The following is a 23,459-nucleotide window of genomic DNA, read 5'->3' as shown; positions in this document are numbered from 1 at the left end:
GATTGTGCCACCGCACTCCAGCCTGGGCAATGGAGTGAGACTCCGTCTTCTAAATAAATAAATAAATAAATAAATAAATAATCAAACAAAGTGACAACATGAATCCATCCTCTGCAGGAAAATGATTGAGAAGCCCAATGAGGAAGGGGATAGAGGGAGAGGGCAGCAGCTCTGGTAGGGGGTGGCTGTTGGGAGAGATGCATAGTCCTTGTTTTTATTGGTGCTTGTAGAATCGCCGGAGGTTGTTTGAAAGCTCTCGGGAATGGTAGAGCCTTCCAAGGATGTACTCACTGGCAGTCTGGAATTTTTTCATTTATGCCAACTCAAATTAGCCAGTTAAAATTTCCCCCAAATCAAGGAATTTTTTTGGAAGATATATTTGCATTTTTTACTTTAGGTCTTGACTCCTTAAAGTCTGGAGGAAAAGATGTTGGCCTCAGGACCCGGGACATAGAACCCTAGCTGTGTATGAGCATCCTGATTCTCAAATCATCCATCCCATTTGCCTACACCTCTGACAGGGGTGCATGTAGCCCACACTAACCCCTCTTGGAGATTTGATGTGGTTTATATAAGTGTTTGTCCTTGTCACAGACACTAATGGATCAGTGGCATCTTCCTGGCATCTCTCATACCCACTTGAGTGGGATCTCTCTGGAGAGTATGGGGGTCTAATTCCATGGTCCTGTGCATGCAGCCGACCTGTGGGCAGGGAGATTCATGTAAGAGCTTAGATACGGGCAGGCTGTGTCCAATTCCTGCCCCGTGATTCCTCTGAGTGACTTTGGGCTGTTCTTCCACCTCTGAGTTCAGCTTCCTCACCTGTAAGATGGGCTGACAGGACCTGTCTCATGAATGATGAAGGAAGATGAATGATGGCACCCTTTTCTTCACTGCCTGGCTGACAGTACATACCCCACAAATGGTAGCCTCTGTTACTAGGGGTCAGTGTGCAGCCATCCCAGGTGACACCTGATCCACGGGAGAATCCAAGAAGGGAAGCTGATGCCCTTGGTCTGGTGGTGGTGTTGCTCAAGAAGCTAAATGACATTTTCTTCCTCCAGTGTTTTTGGGTTTTTTTGTTTGTTTGTTTGTTTTTTCTTTTGAGACCGAGTCTCACTCTGTCTCCCAGGCTGGAGTGCAGTGGTGCAATCTCGGCTCACTGCAACCTCGATCTCCCAAATTCAAGCAATTCTCATGCCTCAGCTTCCCGAGTAGCTGGGACTACAGGTGTGCACCACCACACCTGGCTAATTTTTGTATTTTTAGCAGAGATGGGGTTTCATCACGTTGGTCTCAAACTCCTGACCTCAGGTGATCCACCCTCCTAGGCCTCCCAAAGTGCTGGGATTACAGGTGTGAGTTACCTCGCCTGGCCCTTCCTCCAGTTTTAAAAAAGCCACTGAGCTTATGAGCTATTAGTAAGGATGAACACAGTCCAGGTATCACTTAATGAAGAGATCGTCATGTACTAAGCCATCTAAAGGACAAGTCACAGTGAATCACCAGCAGCTGGCTGGATTGTTATTGATTGGGGTTTTCTTAATCCTTTTGATTTCTGGGGAGAAAGAAAGAAAAACTCAACACTCTTCAATCTGAAATATAGCATTACCAGGTTTCTCTCTCTCTCTCTCTCTCTCTCGCTCTTTCTCTTTCTCTTTCTCTCTCCCCCCACTGTGTTCTCTTTCTCTTGTTTAACAAAACTTGAAAAGTCATGTAAAGTAATCCACATTTTAAGTGCATGAGAATAACTGAGAAATACTGTGACAAGCCCCGTTGTAAAGTGAGTCTCTTCACCCTAGTTTTCCTTAAGTGCAGATTTTCTTATTGAGAGCTTTGCTTAAAGCCACATTTCGCCTGTTTTGTTTTTAATTTATTGGGATTTTCCCCCATTATTCTCATTAGGATTTTAGGACCCACACTCCTGTGCCCTCTGCCTTTCCGCACAAAGCCCCATCAACCTCTCCAGCAGTTCCTCCAGGTCATCCTTCGACTCTGACCTGCACGGCTAAAGCACTTCGCTCACTGGCTGTGAACACCCAGGTTGAGCCGCTAGGCTTTGCAGGGAGGGGATTCATTGCAGGCTTTGGGATCCCATGGCTCTCCTGTAGCCCAGGACTTAGGTTCTGGAGGCCCGAGGTGCTCACCTCACTTCTCCTGCTTAACATATTGCCTTTCTCAGCAAGTGAAGGCTCCAGCATTTAATCAGACGAGAGAGAGAGACTTCGACTCTGACCAACATCCACCAGCCAAAAGGAGAAAAAAACAACAAATGCCCAACAAAATACAAATAAATTTCTCTAAAAGTGCAGTTGTTGGGAAAAAGAAAAGGCGGTTTGTCAGGCTGACATCAGAGTAGCCGCAGTCACCCTGACAAGCCGCAAAGTCTAATGTTTTATTCACCAGGCCTGAAAAATAACTTCCCAACAAGGGCCCCATAAATAAACCAGTGTGATGAATATTACACGAAATAAAAACTGATAAAGCAAAGGCCCTAAACACGAGCTGCACCACGAGGTGAGGGAAGCACATGGCTTTTATCGCCTCTAATGCCAGGTGACAGGTTGGGCCAGGCTGCCCCCAGCTCACAGGGAGGCTGGGAGGGGGCCGGGGAGGGGGCCAGCCATGGAGGACACCCTCTTGCCCCAGCCTTGGGGGCCAAAGCCAAAATTTTCCAAATGAATTCCACTTTTCATCTCTTTTCACATTAGCGCATCACCTGCATTCACGGATAGAGTTATTTCCATCTATTAGGAGCCACCGGCTGCAAATTGTTTTTCCCTTAGCCCTGGCTTGGGGGTTTGCAGGGGCACATGGTTTATGAGAGCAGACAGGCTCGCCACTCCTCTTTCTGTTAAGATGGTTATGCAGGGAGCCTGGAGCTCAGAACTCAGAAAGGGAGCAAGGGAGACGCTCCCTGGCTCTGTCCCCCATGCACACACCAAGGGGCAGTGACTGCTTCTCCAGGTAGAGAAATGGACCCTAAGGCTTTCCAAGGTGCCAACAAGGAGCCTCCATGTGCACAGCCCATGTGGCGTGTAGGACAGCCGTGCCCCAGCCCCAGCCATGCTGCCTAGCCTCAGCTCCCCTGGCTTCCAACACCCGCCACTGTGCTGTAATTGCCGGACCCCCAGCAACAGCCTCCCACGAACTCAATTAGTTACGCACGAAGAGGGCACAACTTGGTGATAGGTATATGAATAATGGGAAGTTGTAAACAAGGTATGAAGCTGTATAGTATGAGGAAGTAAAAAAGGAGGCTGCAAAAAAGTGGGCTGTGGCATATGAATTGGACATTTCTGTGCATGCATACACACATGAGACATGAACACATGCCTACATTTCTGTGTGCACACCTGTGCACACACATGTACACACACACCTGTGTACCCCTGCCTGCATTCCTGTGTGCATGACTCTCTGCACACACCCACGCCTACAGGTGTGCATGACTGTGTACACACTGTGCATACGTGCATGTCTGCCTTCCCGTGTGCATGTCTGTGCACTCACATGACTGCACACACACCCGCAAACACTCAGAGGTATTTGAATCTTTTCTTCAGATGACTGTTTTGGGGAACCAACTGCTGAGCCCAGAGGCTGTCATTATGTTTGTTTGAGTCCAGAGCTTGACTTGCAGGTGTAACTGTTTCTCCATTGCTTAGACACAGAACTGAAACTCAATGCTTCTCCATTCTGAAAGGTTTTCAAACAGGAAGGGGTGGTGTTTGGGGGCATTTTTTCTGATTCAAGTACCACAGTTGTTTATAAATACACCCTTTCCCAGCCCTCTCCGGCATGCTGACTCTGAGGAATTTGCTTTCATGGTTAGCAATGGAATCCAGATGTTCATTACAGATGTTTTCATCTTTTTTCTTTTCCTTACTTTTTTTTTTCATTCATCGGATGAAGTCAGGCTGTCATGAAAAACTGCAAGTGCTTGCGTCTCCAGGTTTCTGAGTGCCAGACCCGTGTCATGAAACAGGCAATAATTACATGCTCATCAAGCATGTGGGTTGCCTTTAATCACCCCCAAATCATGTCGCTTTTCAGACACACCAGGATGTGCAGTGAAGTCACTCTGCCCCATGCAGCTGGGGAGGTGTGGAGGGGAACACACTCCATCTTTACACAGAACTCTGAAAATCACAGGGCGGCTCAGGCTGTAAGCCCAGGAACCCTGCCCCATGGGGAAGAACGAATAGAAGCTTTCACTTCTGGGAGGTGGGGCTTGCGGAAGGCAGCTGCTGGCAGCCTGGCTCCCAACATAGATTCTATCATGCTCAGAGAGTTTTGTTTTTGTTTTTTGTTTTTTTTTTTGAGATGGAGTCTCACTCTATTGCCCAGGCTGGAGTGCAATGGTGTGATCTCGGCTCACTGCAACCTCCACCTCCCGGGTTCAAGCAATCCTCCTGCCTCAGCCTCCCAAGTAGCTGGGATTACAGGCGTGCACCACCACACCTGGCTAATTTTTGTATTTTTAGTAGGGACAGGGTTTCACCATGTTCGTCAGGCTGGTCTCGAACTCCTGGCCTCAGGTGATCTGCCCGCCTTGGCCTCCCAAAGTGCTGGGATTACAGGTGTGAGCCGCCGTGCCCGGCCCATGCTCAGAAGTTTAACATCAGTAGGGTACAGGACTCTGAAAGACAGAGGGAGAACAGGGGGCATCAGCAGGACTCTGCTTCTCTGCTAGCTGTTTGTCCTGGTCACCAGTTACTGCTGCATTTCAGCAAGGGCTGGAGTCGTAGAATGTAGGTGCTAGAAAGGAACTGCACACCTGTTCAATCCAGTCCTGTTTTATGCCAAAAAAAATTCTGAATCAAATAGGAGAAGGGACTTGAGTGACTTGTCTAAGGTTAGGACCAAAATGAGGACCCAGACCCCAACTTCCAGGCCAACAGTTGCTGTGCCAGCCCGAGTTATCGTCTCCCAGCACAGCTCTTCTCTCAGCAGGGCCTCCAGACCGGCAGGCTCAGAACCTTCTTGAAACTTGTTTAAAAGCAAATTAGCAGACCCCATTCCACACATACTGAATCAGAAACTCTGGGAATGGGGCCCAGCAGTCTGTGTTTTAAGGAACCACTTCCTCCTTCCCTCCCACCAGCTCCAATAAGGAACCCACCCAGCTCCAGTGAGAATCTGTCTTTCTACTGAGCTCGTGGGTGAGGCTGGTGTTGCACTGTGCCTTTTCTTGAGGTAGGCGATGGGTAATTCTCACTTTGAGAACAATGGTTTTCCAAGCTTCAGCGCGACTAAGAATCAATGCTGGACACAGTGGCTCATGCCTGTAACCCCAGCGCTTTGGGAGGCCGAGACAAGAGGATCACTCGAGCTCAGGACTTCAAGATCAGCCTGGGCAACACAGCAAAACCCTGTCTCTACAAACAAATTTAAAAATTATCCGAGTGTGGTGGTGCATGCCTGTAGTCCCAGCCACTCAGGAGGCTGAGGCGGGAGGATTGCTTGAGCCTGGAAGATCGAGGTGGCAGTGAGGTATGATTGCATCACTGTACTCTAGCCTGGGCAACAGAGTGAGACTGTCTAAAAAAAAAAAAGAAAAGAAAAGAAAGCAATCACCTGCACAACTTGGTAAATAGATTTTCTATTCCCCAGAATTCAGAATTCAGAATTCAGCAGCCCTAAATCTGAATTTTTATAGAACCGCCTCCTTCCCTCTCACTAGTGGGTTTGATGCAAATGTTCTGATCACACAGCCAAACACAAACAATAGCCTAAGGATTATGGGAAGGAAGAGTAGAAACAGGGCCAAGCAAGTTTGAGCTAGCTCTTTATTTGTCTCCAGGGCTAACAAGGAAAAGCAACAGTCATCAGAAAGGCATCCTCTGGAACACACAGCTGACTGCATCTCACGCCTCTCCTCCCTCTGTGGTTGTTGAAGCACTTGGGGACATGTGTAGCAATGCGAGTTCCAAAAAGGACAGGGAATGGTAAACTCACAGATTCTACTCCTGGGGGATGTATGTCGACCCCTTAAGTGAGTATAGTTTGCTGAAAACCAATGCAGATGACAGGAAGTCTTTAATAAATAAGTTCTCAGGCTAATAGCAGCGGTGCGGTGCCTCAGGGAGTTGAATTATGGGGGATCCAAACCCAATTCTGGAAAAGCTGTTTCACAGGGACTCTTCCCATCTCACCAGCATCACCCTGAAATTCCATGGAAAGACAGAAATTTCACAAACTACAGTCATAGAAGGGTTGCAATACTCTCCCTGTCTGCTGATATTCTCGGCTCAGGGCAGCACCACGGAGAGCTACACAAACCACAGCCCCAGTCTGTGTTCCCACCATTGCAGGTGACAATTGGAAGGATCAAAAAGAAACCCCAGTTCCTTCCAGCCCGTTAAAAAATATCTGGAGAAGGCCAGGCGCGGTGGCTCATGCCTGTAACCCCAGCACTTTGGGAGGCTAAGGTGGGTGGATCACCTGAGGTCTGGAGTTTGAGACCAGCCTGACCAACATGGTGAAACCCCGTCTCTATTAAAATTACAAAAATTATCCGGGCATGGTGGCAGGTGCCTGTAATCCTAGCTACTCGGGAGGCTGAGACAGGAGACTCACTTGAGCCCAGGAGGCAGAGGTTGCAGTGAGCCGAGATCGCGCCACTGCGCTCCAACCTGGGTGACACTGTGAGACTCTGTCTAAAAAAAAAAAAAAAATCTGGAGAAGTATGCCAGCAAACACATGAAACAGAAGCAAAAATTTAAGAAAAAGAGACACATGCCTGCCACTTCTCTTTCAGAGGTAGGCTATAAGAACTCTGTGTGTGTGTATGTGACATATATATAGTAAACTCAACTGTATTTTCTTTTCTTTTTCTTTTTTGAGACTGGGTCTTGCTCTGTTGCCCAGGCTGTAGTCCAGTGGCACAGTCTCACCTCACTGCAACCTCTGCCTCACGGGTTCAGCTGGTCTTTCTGCCTCAGCCTCCCAAGGAGCTGGGACTACAGGTGTGTGCCACGAGACCTGGCTAATTTTTGTATTTTTAGTAGAGATTAGGTTTCACCATCTTGGGCAGGCTGGTCTCGAACTCCTAACTTCAAGTGATCTGCTCGCCTCGGCCTCCCAAAGTGTTGGGATTACAGGCGTGAGCCACCGTGCCCGGCGCAACTGCATTTTCTTGATCCGATTTGTGAATGGGCTCTTCTTGTACACGCATGTGCCCACGGGGACCTGAGGCATGCATGTCAGTGCAAACACACGAGAGTGCATTTGTGCCCGGATGCAGCTGTGCTGTGCGTGGGCTTTGAGAGATGGTTCTGGAAATAGCAGTGGTGCCAGAGATGCCAAGGAGAAGTTTGTTAGGATGTGTGGCTCCATCCCACCTGGGATTAATTTTTTTTTTGTCAGGTAAGCACAATGTTTCCTTTGAAAAGTCCTAGCCTGGAGTCTGATCCTAGGAGGAGCCAAGATGACGTGGTCCTTTCCCGTGGTGTGAGAGTCAGGACTATCGAAATAAGAGCACTCACCTTTTTTATTTTTTGAGATGGAGTCTCTCTCTGTTGCCCAGGCTGGAGTGCAGTGGTAAAATCTCCTCTCACTGCAACCTCTGCTCCAGGTTCAAGCGATTCTTCTGCCTCAGCTTCCCAAGTAGCTGGGATTACAGGCGTGCACTACCATGCCCAGCTAATTTTTGTATTATTAGTAGAGACAGGGTTTCACCATGTTCGCCAGGGTTGTCTCAAACTCCTGGCCTCAGGTGATCCACCCGCCTCTGCCTCCCGAAGTGCTGGGATTACAGGCGTGAGCCACCTCACCCGGCCCACTTCACTTTTTATTGTGCCTTTTTAATTGCCTCCTGAAGGCCATCAGCCACCAGTAAAAGCCCCAAAGCTCTGGAAGATTCTCTGTTGGTATTCACTATGTGCACCTCCTGGTTCAGAGCCACCCCCCTGTTGTGATCCCCCTGAATGAGCTGCCCTTGGTTGAGCCAGGGCTGGGATCGGGCCTGAGGACAGCACCGTCTTTACTGAAGGTCCAGTGTGGAGGAGAGAGGACGAGGCCAGGGACCTCACCTGTGGGTCTCACTGATTTCTGCCCTTGTGAGTCCAGACAGCTGAATGTGACCCAACCCTTTGCACAGTTCTGTCTCCATGCGCTGCTGGACAGGGGACTTCAGCTTTTCAGAAGCTCGGTTGCCCCACCTGGAACAGTGGGATTTATTTTTTTTTTCAATTTATTTTATTTATTTATTTATTTATTTATTTATTTTTTGAGATGAAATCTCACTCTGTCGCCCAGGCTGGAATGCAGTGGTGCGATCTTGGCTCACTGCAACCTCTGCCTCCTGAGTTCAAGTGATTCTCCTGCCTCAGCCTCCTGAGTAGCTGGGAGTACAGACGTATACCACCATGCCCGGCTAAGTTTTGTATTTTTAGTAGAGATGGGTTTTCGTCATGTTGGCCAGGCTGGTCTCGAACTCCTGACCTCAGGTGATCCACTCACCTTGGCCTCTCAAAGTGCTGGGATTACAGGCGAGAGCCACTGCTCCCGGCCAGAACAGTGGGATTTAAAAGAACGGGTGTGATGGGGTGAAATGAAGGAATGTGTGTGAAGCTATCTGGAGTCCATGGCAAACAGCACAGAGGGAGGGCGGTGTCTACGAAGCGGCGCAGGCAGACCGGCAGGTGTGAGAAACAGCGAGTTTTCTTTTCTGTAGAAACCCATTGAATAGGATAAGGATGACAACTAGGGTAGCATTTCTGGAAAGTTCCAATATTGAACAGGAAAAGCTAAGATGGCTGCAGGCTACGTGGAGTGCAGGGGCAGGTGAGATTGCCTGAGTGTGCGGTGCCAGGGAAGGCTTTGGGGATCTGAGATGTGGAGGACGAGAGGACGGGAGCAAGTGGGGCCTGGAGGGGCTCAGGTGGAGCACAGCACCTGTGAGCATGAGCACGTGGGAGCAGGGCCAGACCCAGCGTGGTTGTAGATGTCACTGGAGGAAAACCAGGGCAGAAAGCAAGAGCCAGATGGCGGAGGCTGGGGGTTCTGCGCCAAGGGGTGTGGACTCATGCCTGTGTACACGGACACTCCAGTGTAGCCTGGGACCTAGAGATGAGAGGCTGGCTGGAGTCCTGATTCTAGAGGATCCGTGCATGGCCAAGTGTCGGACCTCAGCCTCCTCCACTGTAAGACGAGGGTGATGACAATAGTGTCTGTGCGTGTTAAAGTAAATAATAGCAAAACGTGCATGTGAAAACATATACATACATATATACACACACATATACATACACTTACATGATGTTTCATTTCTCAGCCCTCACAAGGGTGAAAGAAGGCACATGCAGGTCCCCCAGACTCTGTCCTAGGCATCTCCTTTTGGTCGCAAATGGACATCTCCATCTGTTTCATTTGCAAATCAAGCATACTCATGTTGGCCACCTGCTGTGTGCTGGAGTCTGTGCATCTGGGGGCAGGAGAAGCTGGAGCCAGCCAGCCCCATCCTCTGGCAGCCTCGTCTACACAGGGAGAGGCCCACATACGCCCCTCTAATGAAGCACCTGGATGCAGAGGCAGACACAGTGTGATGACAGTAACTCTGGGAGCCCTAGTGAGGCTCCAGGCAGCAGAGAGGAGGTGGCATCTGAGCCAGGTTTCAGAGGGTAAGAGAGGGTTCCCTGGCAGAGAATATTCTAGACAGAATGTCCAAGGTTTGTCAAGGGAAGGCCCCCAGCATGCTGGAGAAATGCCACTGTGTCTGTGCAGGGTGGGCTGGGCTGGTTGGGGGGTGAGACACTTGCTACGTGCCAGGCACAGGCAACAGGCACAGCTCGATGTGGTTTTCACTGCATCTTCAAGCTCACAAGCATCCTCTGAGATGGGTCCATTACTGCTGTCATGTGGCAGACGAGGAAACTGAGGCTGGAAAGATGTGTGGGAGCTGGAGTGTGATGGTCCTGGTTCCCTGGAGAGCTCAGTCTTGGGCCTGCAGACCTAGGCTCCTAAACTGTAGGCCTCACAGATGGGCTCCAGTTGGCCCATGAGCCTCCTGAAATGGTTGCAAACTTTTGTGCACATATGTGCCTTTTCTGGGAAGAGGTTTCCTAGGGGCCCCGAAGGGTTAAGAAGCCCATCTCTAGGTAAGGAGGAGATTTTGAAACAGTGGTTCCAGGATCTGAACACTAAGGATGCAATTCCAAGAATCCAGGCCCAGCGTCAGAAGCAGTGGATACCCAGAAAGGGACAGGTTCCGAGACACCAACAAGTCCCTGTAACCTACGGAGCATGAGGAGTGGGTGACCATGATTCCACTTTGTTGTCTGGATGCCATGCAGCTGGCGATGCCACTGTCTGAGATGGCAGATGCAGGAGAAGCATTGGGTGCCAGTGAAGCCACCTGGGGCACATCTCTGGGTGAAAGTGTCTACTAGGACACAGGAGTCTCGAGAGAGGGAGGCCCAAGCTAAAGATTGTGATTTAGGAGGTGTGGGGAAGGAACTGGGGCCCTAGGAATGGGTGGATGGTAGAAACAGGAAGAGGTGATGGAAAAAGGCAGTTTCAAGGATCATCAGGTAAAAGCAACAGAAACAAGAAATGGGGCAGGACTGAGATGGATTGCTGGATTTGGCAATGAGGGGATCGTTGGTGACCAGGGTGGGAATTCCCAAGGGAGGGGTGGGGACATGGGCAGATTCCAATTCCTAGGAAGGGACGATGTGGCAGTGTAGACAGAGTCTGGAGGAGACAGAGGAGACACCTCGGCATCTGGGAGAGGGGGAAGGTCCCAGGATGATGCCTCTTGAGGATGTGGAAGCTGTGTGTGCTCGTGGGGTGAAGGGCAGGAATGGGGGCAGAGGCAGAGTGGGAGGTATGGAGGGAGAGGAGGATGGGATCAGGGAGCTGGGGGAGACTCAGCCCTTGCTGAACTCCCATCCAGGGGCTGACTGTGGGTGTGTCTTTGGGAAGAAGCTGTTTGCCATCAGACAGACCTCTCTGGGGTCATGGGACATTCTTCCCCCAGGACTTTCCTCTCCTGCACCTGCTTCTCCAGGTGCTTTTGTTCTGGGAGCCAGGAGACCTGCAGAGCCAGCTGGATGATGCTGAGGTTGGGTGGCTCTGAGCGAGGTTTTCACTTGCAGCCTCTGAAGCAATGATTTCTGTCTCCTCTCTCTCTTTATACTGTACTCGGTCTCCATTTTTCTCTGGTGTAAAAATAATGGCTTTGGATGACATGACACCAGGTATTGATTGAAGGGATGAGAATTAAACAGTTCTGTGTCTCTGGAACAAAAGAAAGCAAGACCATTGCAGAGCACAGTACGCAGGAGGCCAGTGTGGAGAAGCCAGCTCGGCAACTTTTTTCTTTTAATGAAAATAGTTCAGGAAGCGAGGACACCTTCCCCCAAATCCTTTGATGGGTGCAGGCCTCACTGAGGCTGTGAGCTGGTCTGCTGCGTGTAAATGTGGTTTTGGAGGGTCAGTCTCCTCCCTGGTAAAGGCTGGCAGGGTCTCCCCTGGCCTGTCCTCCTCTGTCTCTGCCTGTTTCTCTCTCTCTCTTTTTCTCTGTGTCTGTCTCTTTGTCTCTCTCCCTCCCCTTTCTCTATGTCTCTGTCTATCTATATGTCTCTCCCCCACCCCATCTCTCTCTCTCTTCCTCTGTTTCTCTCTCTCTGTCTCTCTACCTCTTTCTGTCTGTCTCTTTCCCTCCCGTTTCTCTGTGTCTGTCTATCTGTCTTTCTGCCTCTGTCTCTCTCTGTCCCTGTTCTCTTTGTCTCCCCATCTCTGTTTTTCTGTCTCTCTCTCTCCCCCACCCCATCTCTCTCTCTTTCTCTATGTCTCTGTCTCTCTTTTTCTCTCTGGCTCTGTCTCCCTCTCTGTCTCTGCCTCTCTTTATCTCTCTGTCTCTCTCTGTGTCTCTGCTCTCTTTGTCTCTCAGGCTCTGTCTTTCTGTCTCTCTCTCTCTGTCTCCGTCTCTCTTTGTCTCTCTGTCTCCATCTCTCTTTGTCTCTCTGTCTCCATCTCTGTCTCTCTTTGTCTCTCTGTGTGTGTCTCTGTTCTCTCTGTCTCTCTGGTTCTATGTTTCTGTCTCCCCACGCCCCCACACTTCTCTGTGTCTCTGTCTCTGGCTGCCCCTCACTCATGTGCTCCCCTCCCCTCTGCACCCCGTCTCTCATCTCTTTTTGTTCATTGACTCAGGTGCTCACGTGGACCCCAGAGCCTGCCTCCTCTCCAGCATCCTAGGGCTCCCTATCTATCCCTTTCCCTCTCCCACCCCGAGCAGTTTATTGATTTATCACAAAACACCACCTCCCTGGCAGCTGTGCTCAGCCTGATCCCTGCTTCGCTCAGCAGCATAAAAAAAGAAAAGAGCTACAAATGGTCCCTTCCCCTCCCAGGGCTCAAATTCCAGTCCTGAGGGCCTGGAGTGATCTCCAATTTGGAGACAGAATTCCAGCCCAGACGGCAGCAGACAAGGAGCAGGAAATGGCAAGGGGTGTGGGGAAAGAAGGCAGGCAGCCGCTAAGAGGGGCTAGTTCATGGCTGCTCTGGTTTTCGGATGACCCTGTAGGTGGGACCAGAGCAGACCTGCCGGGAGCCCTGGGTCTGCTCCTGGAGCCCCAAGGAGTCTGGACACGTGGTTGCTCAGACCTGAGATAGAATGGAAAAACAGAATAGTCTAGAGCAGCAGGAAGTGACTGTCATCGTGGGGTGCACGTCTCTACCAAGAGGACCAGGCTGGCCCTGTGAGCCGCACAGGAGGGCTTCACACTGGGTGGTCGGGACCCTCCGTGCTTCCAGGGGCATTGAGAAAAATAGTCGAAGAAAACTGGGATTCTGTGCTGTCCCCTGTAGTGTCACTAAAGACCAGAGCTGTGTGGCCTCACTTCCAGTGGGAAGATGGGGGTGTTAACAGCGGGCAGGCCACAGCACGCTTTTAGTTCAGAAAGTCCTTGCGGTGTCAATTACTTGCCCAGCCCCGGGGCAGGTGCAGCAGAGAACAAAAGTGATTGTGATGGGGTGCCGTCTTCTGGGAGTGCCGTCTTCAATCTCTTAGGAGATCTAGAATCTGCATTTGTGAAAACGTCTAATAACAACACTGAGCAGTGCAGGCTGGAGCCACGGGCAGGACATTCTCCAGGGGTCCAGGGGGGGCAGAGGCCTCTGGAATGAAGCGAAACATTTGTGTTGGGTCCCCAGGTTCAGCTTGGGGTGGGTCTTGACACCCACCCTGACAGTGATGCACCCCCCAGAGGCTTTGGAGGCAGGAAGGGGCTTGTTGACTCTGGTAATGTGAACAGAACGGGACAGGGGAGAGGCAGTGTGGCCATCCCAGACATGTGGCGACCAGGGACCACTTGTAAGGAAAAGAGTGAGAATGAAGAGGAAAGGCAAACGGCAGGGGAAATGCTTCTGGGCTGAGCATGGGAGATGGTGGCCGAAGGGACAGCAGGGCTTGAAGTCCATGAGGCTCAGGGAGGGGTTGTCAAGGAACAGAAATAAATAGGGTGCCAGGAACACAGCTTTTGCTTTTTGCCCATGTTGAGCTGGGCGGTCTGGGAGGGGACAGAACCCATAAATACTTGGAAAGAGATGCTTAGAGCCTGGGGGCTGCAGATATACGTTTCTTTAAAATCTAAGCATACCGGTCAGTTAGCGGGATGGGACCCACATTCATGAAACAGGAGCAACATAGAGTGAAATGACACAAGGATCCGAGACCCAGTGTGTGTCAGAACACAGCGAGACGTGGCCGACGGCTGCCCCAGGCTGTCAGAGCCCTGAGACCAGAAGCTGGGAGAGAAGGTCCTGTTGGCCACAGAGTCAGGGAAGGCTTCTCCGAAGGGAGGGTCCATCCTTGGCTCAGAGTGAGTAGGACCTGGTTGATCAGGGAGCGGCCCAAGGACCTTCAGACCCAGAGAAGACCCCCCAGGCACAGCCCCACCACGTGACTTCATGATCCCCAAGCCCACATGGTGGCCGTGGGGCTGGATTTTGCCCGTCCCAGAGCCAGAAACTGGTGAGAGTCAGGGGTGTGGGAGAGGCCTGGGGGAGACAGGAGTGGGACCACTATCAGACCCCCTGCCACCCTGAAAACCCCGCCTCTGTAAAACGGAGAAGCGTGTGGAACCTGAATATCCCCTCGTCTATTTCAAGCATCTGCAGGAATGACCCAAGATTCTGCAGCGTGAAAAGAAAAAAAACCACAACAGGTGGCATCGTTGTGCTCGGTGGAGGGGATTTTGACCATGACAGTGAGGGTCTGAGTGGGAGAAAACTGGGGGGACTCCTGTGTAGTCCTAGGGCAATTCCAGAACCATCCAGGGCAAGAGGGGAAGCCCCTGCATGGCAGTGAAACCAGCATGATACCCCAAACCCTTCAATTTCACCTCAATGAGGGTGACACTCCCCAGTGTCTACTCTACCGGGGGTCAGGGGGCACAGGGGAAAGAGAAGACATTGCTGTGTCCCACAGCGGGGTTAAACTCATCTGGAGAAGCAGTGAAGACACGCAGGTACACGCGCGCCCACACGCACCTGCACACACACATGCTCACACACAAGAGTCTCTGGAGTTCATGTGATGGTCAGTTTTTCTGCCCAGCTTAACTCTTCAGCTCTGAATGGAGAGCTGAGAGATGCAGGCCTGGGTGGGTGTTGGGGGCTGTTTTCTGGCTGTGACTTAGGGGTGTGAACAGAGGTGCTCCTGGGATGAGTGATTTCTTCCACTCTGGACAGATCAGCACGAGAGGTCAGGGCTGAAGGGTCTGAGAAGGAGCCGGACTCTGCGTGGGACCCTTGGTGACACCAGGCTAAAATGTGCGACCAGCCATTTGTTTAAAAGAGAAGCCCGGTGAAGAGGAACCGGGATGGGAGCCATAGATGGAGATCTCCTGGGAGAGCGAGGGGTGAATCCAGGACAGGCGTGGGCCAGGGTGCCTCTGTGTCTTCCTGAAGATGCACCGGGGCTGGCCATTAGGCCGGGGTGGGGGGCCTACAGCTTCCCTAGACTTTGCAGGTGAGAGACATGGACCAGAGGGTATTGCTCAGAGCCCCCACCAGGCATGCAGAGCTCCTTCCAGGGAAGGAGGAGAGGGCACGGTGTGGAATAATTTCAGGTTATATAGTGGCCCTTTAATGAAGGAAGTTCTCACGGGTGATCTGGGTTGATGGCGTGGCCACGTAACACCATCAGCAGGAACTGCTACGGTGGGAGAAGAGGCTGGGGGAGCCACTTCCATGCCTTCCTCCCCAGGGTGCACAGGATCACCGGCAGGAGTGTGGCCAGGATGGGGGACAGGTTTGGGTGAAGAGCCCTTGATAGGAGCCCCAGGATGACCATGACGGGTACACTGGACCAAGCACTAGTGAAGATGATGATGGTAATAATGGCGTGGGAAGGGAGTTTGTTTCCATACAGAGCAGAGTTGGGTTGGAAATGTTAGGGATCCCTCCATTCTCCAGTGTCTGAAATGGGAGGAGCACCATGGGAAGCTCAGAGCAGATGTGAATGGTTCCCTGGAGAGGCCTGGCCCTGCGGGAGCCAGGGCTGGGATTTAGTGGGTGGGGTGGGGACTATCTTTCTGTATCCAGCCTCCTCCCTGTCCCTCCTGGCCACGTGGGTCCTTTCTTGCATTTTTATTCTTTACTTCTTCCCCTCTGCCTTCAGCCCATACCTGGGGCACCTGCTGATTCAGCTCTCTGCCTGCATGATCTCCCCCACCCCATGTGTGGCAGCTGCCAGGACCTCGGACCCTGAGTCCTTTGCTGCCCAGGCTCCCTCCTGATGCCCCATCCCTATCCCTGGGCAACCACGGCTAACCCTGCGCTGCTTGGTCCAAGCCAAGAATTTAATTTTACAAAGTGCAGGAAACGGCCATTCATCAAGTGGATGCTGTTTTCACAGGTGAAGCCAAATGTCTCCGGGTGGAGAGAGATACTCCCCCTTCCATCGCTCTGTTGCCAGCAGTTTGCTTGGGTCTCAAAGCCTGGGAACATGAGGGTCTTGTCAAGAAGTGCACTCAGCCAGTGCCTGCGAGGGTCAGGCTGTGCAAGACCTGGGGGCTGTCAGCAGCATCTCACCACCCAGACCTGTGCTGTTTGCAACGGTGGCCACGGGTCATGGGTGGCCATTTCCATTGAATCAAATTAAAATGAAATACAGTGATGAATTCTGTTCCTCAGGCATGCTGACTCCCAAAAACCTTCAAGTGTTCAAAATCCACATATGCCAGTGGCTATGGGGCCAGGCATCTCAGCCACAGATTGTGGCCAGGGTCACCCCAGCTACCAGATAGCCCTGCCACAATGGACGGTGTGGTCTGCACAGTGGATGACCCTGTCCTGAATGCTCAGCAGAAAGTGGCCAGTTCTGCAGAGTAAGAGGCTTAGGGCAAGGTTCTATCAAAAGGGGTCCTTGCCCCTGCTCCCCAATCCAGCCTCACGCCTCCTGGATCTATCCCATCTCCGTTCCAGACACACAGAATAGTATGCCATGAGTCCTGCCCGTGTTTGCACCCACGGGCTCTGCCCTCCCACTCTCCTTCTACCTGACCACCTTTTCCACTGCTCAGCAGGTGTGACCTCCTGCAGAAAACCTTTCCTGATTGCCCAGAGCAAGGTCAGGTTTTGTCATCAATGTTTGTATAGATAAGAGAGAGAAGGAAGGCCAGGTGCGGTGGCTCACACCTGTAATCCCAGCACTTTGGGAGGCCGAGGTAGGTGGATTGTGAGGTCAGGAGATTGAGACCAGCCTGGCCAACATGGTGAAACCCTGTCTCTACTAAAAGTACAAAAATTAGCCAGGTGTGGTGACACATGCCTGTAGTCCCAACTACTCTGGAGGCTGAGGCAGGAGAATCGCTTGAACCCAGGAGGCGGAGGTTGCAGTGAGCCAAGACTGTGCCACTGCACTCCAGCCTGGGTGACAGAGGGAGACTCCGTCTCAAAAAAAAGAGAAGGAATAAGTGGATGACTATAGCAGGCTTGGCAAAACCAGAAGTATTTTCCCAGGTGAAAAAGCCACAGGTGAGCTCCCAGGTGAGGCAGGTAGGACTGTAGTTTTTTAAAACATAAATAAAAATAAAAGCAACAAAAGAAAGACACCTTGAGCTTCTGCTGCTCTCAGGTGCAGCCTGATTTCATCCCGGTTAGGACCTGGCTCTGGAGCATTCATCCGTGGTCGCTGCTGCTGAGCTGGACACCATCGCTCAGGCCACCGACCCATCATCTTGGAGAACACCAGGGTCCTGGCAGGAGGTGGGGTGAATTTCCTGATGTCCAGGGCCTTTGACTGGAGTCTCAGAGCTTGTGCCAGGGTGAGGTTGCCAAGGACTCCCCATGAGTTGGAGGACTTACCCTTCCCAGGGAGGTGTGAACCAAGGAGACCCTCAAGGGTGTGATCATCACTTTGCATGACTTAAAATCCAGTCTTCTCTGACCTGGTAGTGATTCGAGGGAAGGGAATGGATAAAGGAAAGAAGATCTGGAACCACAGAGGGAGAGCCTTGTGGGGAAGGTGTGGGGGGTACCCAGCCCAGGCTGGTCCCTAGGGAAGGAAATGCTCAAGGGTGACTGTGCTCAGAGCAGCCTGCTGGGAAGCAGAGAGTGAGGTCAGACAGGCCTGACTGCAGAGCCAGGAGGCATGGGCTTGGTTCCAGATCGGCTCCTGGTGTGCTGTGCAGCTTCAAGGAAGCCACTTAACCTCTCTGGGCCTTAGTGTCCTCATCTTTAAAATGGGGTTAAAATTATCTGTTTGGGCCCACCTCAGTGGGCTGTGGTCAGGTTCAGTAGTGTCAAAATGCTTTGTGAACTCTGAAGTCCTGTAGAAATGGGAGAAATCTGTTTGTAGCTGTCTTTTCTAGAGGGCTGGGGTTCAAGTAGACAGGGCCTGAGGGTTCACACTGAGGCCACATTAGAGGGTGGGAGGTCTGGGCCCAGAGGAGACATGTCGGGAGTAATGCAGCTGGAGAGGAGCTGGGGAGCAGGGAGCTCGCCACCTCTGGCAGGGAGTGCCCAGGGGCACCTCTGCACTGCCAACTGTGCCTGCGGGTTGTCTAGAGAGGGTTGGGCAGGCCTGGGCTGGAAACCTGGCACCTCCTTGGGCCTTTGTTCTCTCACCTATAAAGTAAGAATAAGATTATGGTGAAAGAATATATAGACGGCATCCAGTGTAGTGCCTGACCCCAGGCCAGCATCCCATGGAGATTCACTCTCTTCCCTTCCCCTGTGCACATCAGTGTCAAAGTGCATGGGCGACCAGGAAGAACCAGATATTTTCACTGCAGCCCTCTGCGTGATCCTGGGTTGTCAGTAAATCTCAACTAGATCCGTGCAGGGCGAGAAGGGAGGGACATCCTGGCGCCTCCTAGCTTCTCAACCAGTTGCAAGAGATCAAGAGCAGTGGTGTGACGGGAGACGCTAGGAAGTGCTGATGGGAAGCCTGCTTTGGCAGGTGGAGGGGCCCACCACCATCCACCCCCATCCCCGGCCTCCTGATGCCCTTACCCCCAATGCCACAGACAGTGATGCTCTGGAAGAAACCGCCCCAGAAGTATGTAATTGATTTCCCCTCTTGCTAGTTCTTAACCTGCGCCTTTCGGTGGTAGGAAAGGATGCCTGATTAGAATATCTCTGAAGAGGGCAGTGAGTTATAGTAATGGACACTCTTCTAGCTGTCTCTTCCGCTCATAAATCTATCCCCCTCTGAAAGTGCAGTTGGTCCATAATCGTCCATCATGCCGGAGTTCAGCACCGGACAGCTCCCGGGTGGGTTTTTCCTAGGAGGCTCCTTTTTCTGCAAGCTAAACGGAACTGCGACTCCGCACAGCCTCGCCCTGTAATGGAGTGTGAGCAGTCCAGCCGTCAGGAATGATTTAGGAGGGAGCGAACGATAAATATCCAAGAGGTTGGAGCTCAAAGCAGGGAGGCAACGGAGGGGGAGGTAGGGAAAGGGAGAGAGGGAGGAGCCACTGCAGCTGTACTTACATTTTGGTTGTGCTTTTTGTTTTTTATTGATTGATTATTTTTTCAGGGTGAGGAGGTGGTAATGTCCTAAGAAGAGGTGGCTTTGAGTGACCTTTTAAAGACATTCTCCCTTGGCCTCCTTTTCCCTCCATTCCAAGGACAAGTCTCTATCGGGTCTCCCACATGGAGGATTGAGGTCAATGGGGCCGTTTGGTTGGGAAAATGTAACTAACTGGGTAGTTGACATTTAGGGATAAGTAGATTTCCCCACAGTGCTGCCGGGCTCCTCAAATTAGTCCCTCTGATGCCATAGCTCTTTCTTTCAATGAGATGACCCAAGTCCTCAAATTTCCCACCACATTTGAGCCCAGGGAGCTATAAACTCCTCATCTCCAGGGAAGGCCGCACCCCACAGGCTGCCCTCACCCACCTGTGGAATCTCCAGGGATGAGCCCACCCAGGGGGCTGGGGATGCAAAGGGGGCAGCTCCCTGCCACCATTTGTCCTTTGGCTCAGTTTCCTCCGTCTGCTTCTCCCTGATGCAGGGCCCAGCACATAGCAGGAATGGGCACAGGGGTGGTGTTGCCCAGGGTTGGGGGAAAATTGGCTCAGGCCTCAACATTTTTGAAGGGCTTGGACATTTTCTAGAGAGTCATCAAGGCTGGGTATGCCCAACGCTGAGTGCGCTAAACTTCTGCAGTTCCTAGACACCCTCCTGCTTTGATACACTCCTGTCTTTGCACACAAGCCTAAAGAAAATCCCAGGCAGAGGATAGTCCTTGGGATGGTGACCCCACCTTGGACTGTGGGCAATATTTCATGGCTCTTCAGCCCTCTTCCTGCTTCTCTGCCTGCCCAGAGGCTGAGGAAGCAAGGGCTGAGCTTCAAGGGTGATGAATGAGCGTCTGCCTCCCACGGGTGCAGGTTGCTCGGCCAGGTGTTGGCTTGTGGCCGTGCTGCAGCAGGAAGGCTGCCTGCTCTCCCCTATCCAGGCTCCCCACTCCAAGGGTCTCCCTTCCCTCCACCCAGGAGCCAGGTCCTCTGAACTCCAAATGGGGCCGGGAGGCTTTCTGAGGAGCAGAGCTGGGGGCCACCTGCAGATTCATCTTCATAAATGCTTTGCCCACGTCACCTGCTTGTCTGCCCACCAGAGGGGCTACTGCCAGGATGTGAGGATAAGCTACATGCCCTCCATCGAAGAAGGGGCACTGCCAATGGGAGGGCTGTGTGCCAACTGTGACTCCTCACTAGCCCTTGAAAACAGAGTTTGCTTCGGAGGCTTCCTGAGCCCCTGGGGTCTGCCCAGAAGGGAGCGTGTACACTCTGGAAGCTCAAGCTGCATCCCACGCTCATTTGCCAGATGTCAGCCAGCTTTGAGGCTGCCACTGGGCCATGGCAGATTGCTCTGGAAGCAGAGGGAAAGTGCTGCTGCTCCTCCTGGCTGTGACAGTGACCCAAGCCCCCAAAGCCAGTTCCTTCCCAGATGCTTGCAGGCTGGCAAGTGACTCCCTTCTCATCCCTCAGCCCTTTCCTATTGCAGGGAGGCCCTGAGAGGGTGGCAGTCCCCAGGCCTGACCCACTGAAGGATGCAGAGCTAAGGTGAGCTGTGTGGCTCTGGCAAGCTCCCAGGAACAGTAATGACCCCTGTAAAGGGCTCAACAAGAGGAAGCGGGCTTCCCATCTCCCACCTGCTGCACCCAACACCACAGAAGCACTTGAGTGATGCTGTTCCTCCTAGAAATGGGCACCTGAAGATTTGCAAAATAGCCTGGAAATGCAAGATCCTGAGTTCTCATCATGCCTCTCTAGCTAGACAGTAAGCAATCTGCCCAAACAATTGGTCTCCATTCGCCAACTTGGATCTGCATGGTAATGAACCCTCACTGCGGGCTCGCATTGGTGCATTGCTCCACACACCACCGGCCACGGGCAGAACATGCCTCTCTCGCCAGCTCTCGGCACGCAGCCATCTCTGGCCAAGGCAGAAGAGAGCTGAGCAGGACATTACTTCTTCAGTAATCCTGGCAGCATCAAACAGGACAAAGGTCAGGACCGAGCCCCCGCTGCAGGGAGGCTTGGGGAGGAGGTCCAGCTGGGTGGGCAGGTGGAGTCACTGAGTACTCTGCATCTGTTGGTGGCCTCAGCTGCCATTACAGCCCTTCTCCTGGCTGCAAAACGTGCTACCGTTATCATCACCCAGGGTGGCAAGGTGGGGCTTAAAAACTCACTTCACAAAACAGTGGACCTCTCGCAACCATCTCTCGTGTCTCCATCTCCAGGAAAACTGCCCTGGGATGGTTATGAACTTGGGAGAGCATCCATCCCACATCTCTGCCACAGCAATGGCTCAGCACAAACACTGAAAGAGTAAGTGGCTCCTGGAAATAAACTCTCCAGACCCAGGGAGCTTTCTTGAGATGCCCTAGCTCAATGTTTTTCTTGATATTGTGGAAAACAATAGCAAATCTGCTCCTGTTGCATGCCAGTGCTGTGTCTTTCACCAGCATCATTTCCAATCCCAGTGACAGTGGGATCAGAATATCAATAATCTTCCTTTGACACCTAAGACAATGAGGCTTAGAAAAGCTGAAAGCTTTGCAGGAGCCCCCTCCTAATGAAGGCTTTGAGAAATCTGTCTAAACCAGGCCTGCTTGGTTCCCAGCCTTCATGTCCCCCAGCACAATGCCCCCACGTACTTCTTACTTGCAAACTAATGCTTGTGACAAGTGAGCTCAGGGCCAGCTGGCCACATGCAGTGCCAGCAATCCAATACGCTTGTCTGGGTGCTTTGCAATTGAGCTGTGTAGACAGTCGGCTGTGTAGACAGCTGGGAAGGCAACTTCTGGGCAAGGGACTTGGGGAGCTCCAGTGCTGCCGGTCAGCTCACTGAACATCCCAGGCCCCCCTTGAGAACCCAAAACAAGCCTGGTATCCTCCCTCTGGGGCATGCATATATGAACACACAGGCCCAGAGGGGGCTTCCCAGACCCCTAGAAGCTGCTTGGTCCGTCCTCAACCCCTGCCTAGGAGTCCCTGTCTCAGCGGCTGGGGACCCAGCTGTGTCTCCTCTGTACCCCCTCCCTTCGGGGTCGTGCTTGGCCACCATTGCCTTTGGATGCTGCGTGACACATGTTCCATCTTCCCTGTGAAAGCGAGCTTCTCCAGCCAGGTCCTCAGCTCTGCAATCTACTAGCCCAATCTGTTACACTTGACATGGAGAAGGGAGAGGAAGAGAGCTAAATTCTACTCAGGGCGTGCTTGGTGCCAAGCTCTGTGCTTGGAAGCTTGCCTGGGCACCCCACCTGTGCCATCTCACTTAATGACTTGGAACTCTCCCCCAGCCCATCAGCATTCCAGTTCGGAGTGCGTAGCCCCAGCCTCCGCTGAACACCAGGTTGCTCCACAGAGCAGCTTCTTGCTCTTCCTCTCTCTCTCCCTTCTTTCCTGAGGTGCCCCTCTTCTCCCTGCCACCCACCCCCCTGTATTTTTTACTGTTTATGAATCACAGCTCAAAACCCACCCTCACCTGCAAGTCCTCTTGCCCCTCCTCATCACACCCATCTCTTTTTTCCTGGCCCTGACGTTTCTCTGTGTCACTTTTTATATTTATTTCATAATTGTTGGTGTGCAGGTAACATTGAGAGTAGTTCAAAGATCAGTTTCTGCTCCTGCATTAGAATCCAGATTCCTGGCTGGGCATGGTGGCTCATGCCTGTATGCCAACACTCTGGGAGGCCAAGGCGGGTGGATCACCTGAGGTCAGGAGTTCAAGACCAGTCTGGCCAACATGGTGAAACCCCATCTGTACTAAAAATACAAAAATTAGCCGGATTCAGTGGCGTGCACCTGTAGTCCCAGCTACTTGGGAGGCTGAGGCTGGAGATTTGCTTGAACCGGGGAGGCAGAGGTTGCAGTGAGCCAAAATTGTGCCACTGCACTCCAGCCTGGGTGACACAGTGAGACTCCGTCTATAAAAAAAAAAAAAAAAAGCCAGATTCCTGAAAGCCCGGCTCGCAATTCCAGCTCTTTGGCATCCTGTACTGTGCACCTTATGGGGTCCTCTGTGCCTGCTGAAGACTCACTGCTGCCTTCCCTCTGCCTCTAACATCTCTCTTGTCTGCTAGGACACTGGCGATGGTAGAGCTCCCACATCACCACCGTTTGGATGAGAACTTTCTCACCTGCGCTCCATGGGAAAATTAGATGTCTGTGTTTCTGTGTCATGCTCAGAAGGGCTTCTGTGTCTCGGCTCCAGTTAGGAGTGGGCGTGTTGGGGCCGGACCTGGAGGGGTCTAGCTGAACGTTTAGCTCAGGGACCTGGCTGCCATAGCCTCTCTACGTCCTGCTGCCATTGCAAGAGTGTCCTGATTTTCTGTTCTTTTTCTTTCCCTGACACTGAGAAGTTGGTGCAGACACAGGGAAGACATGAGGTAGAGACCCCAGCATCACTGTACGTTGTAGAAGGGAAATGAGCCCATAGAAGACTGTGGTGTCCCTATGCCCTGGGCTCCTGCATGGTCTTTGAGCCCATT

General features: G+C 52.0%; 1 protein-coding gene across 58 annotated transcripts in view, besides 1 other annotated feature; it reads left to right on the top strand.

The window, feature by feature from the left end:
* Positions 1 to 23,459, top strand: part of RBFOX3 (RNA binding fox-1 homolog 3) — a 576,227-nt gene that overhangs the window by 320,950 nt on the left and 231,818 nt on the right. The gene's annotated exons all lie outside the window — the stretch shown is intronic.
* Positions 3,710 to 3,759: an enhancer, noted in NCBI's record as "active region_12916". NCBI's record gives its function as "activates an Ori minimal core promoter by ATAC-STARR-seq in GM12878 lymphoblastoid cells {active_cell/tissue: GM12878}" and the evidence as "EXISTENCE:reporter gene assay evidence [ECO:0000049][PMID:35858748]".

The sequence above is a fragment of the Homo sapiens genome, chromosome 17 (assembly GCF_000001405.40).
Source record: "Homo sapiens chromosome 17, GRCh38.p14 Primary Assembly".
NCBI classification, from domain to species: Eukaryota; Metazoa; Chordata; class Mammalia; order Primates; family Hominidae; genus Homo; species Homo sapiens.
Note: the sequence above shows the minus strand (reverse complement) of the source record. Positions and strands in the feature narration are given on the sequence as shown.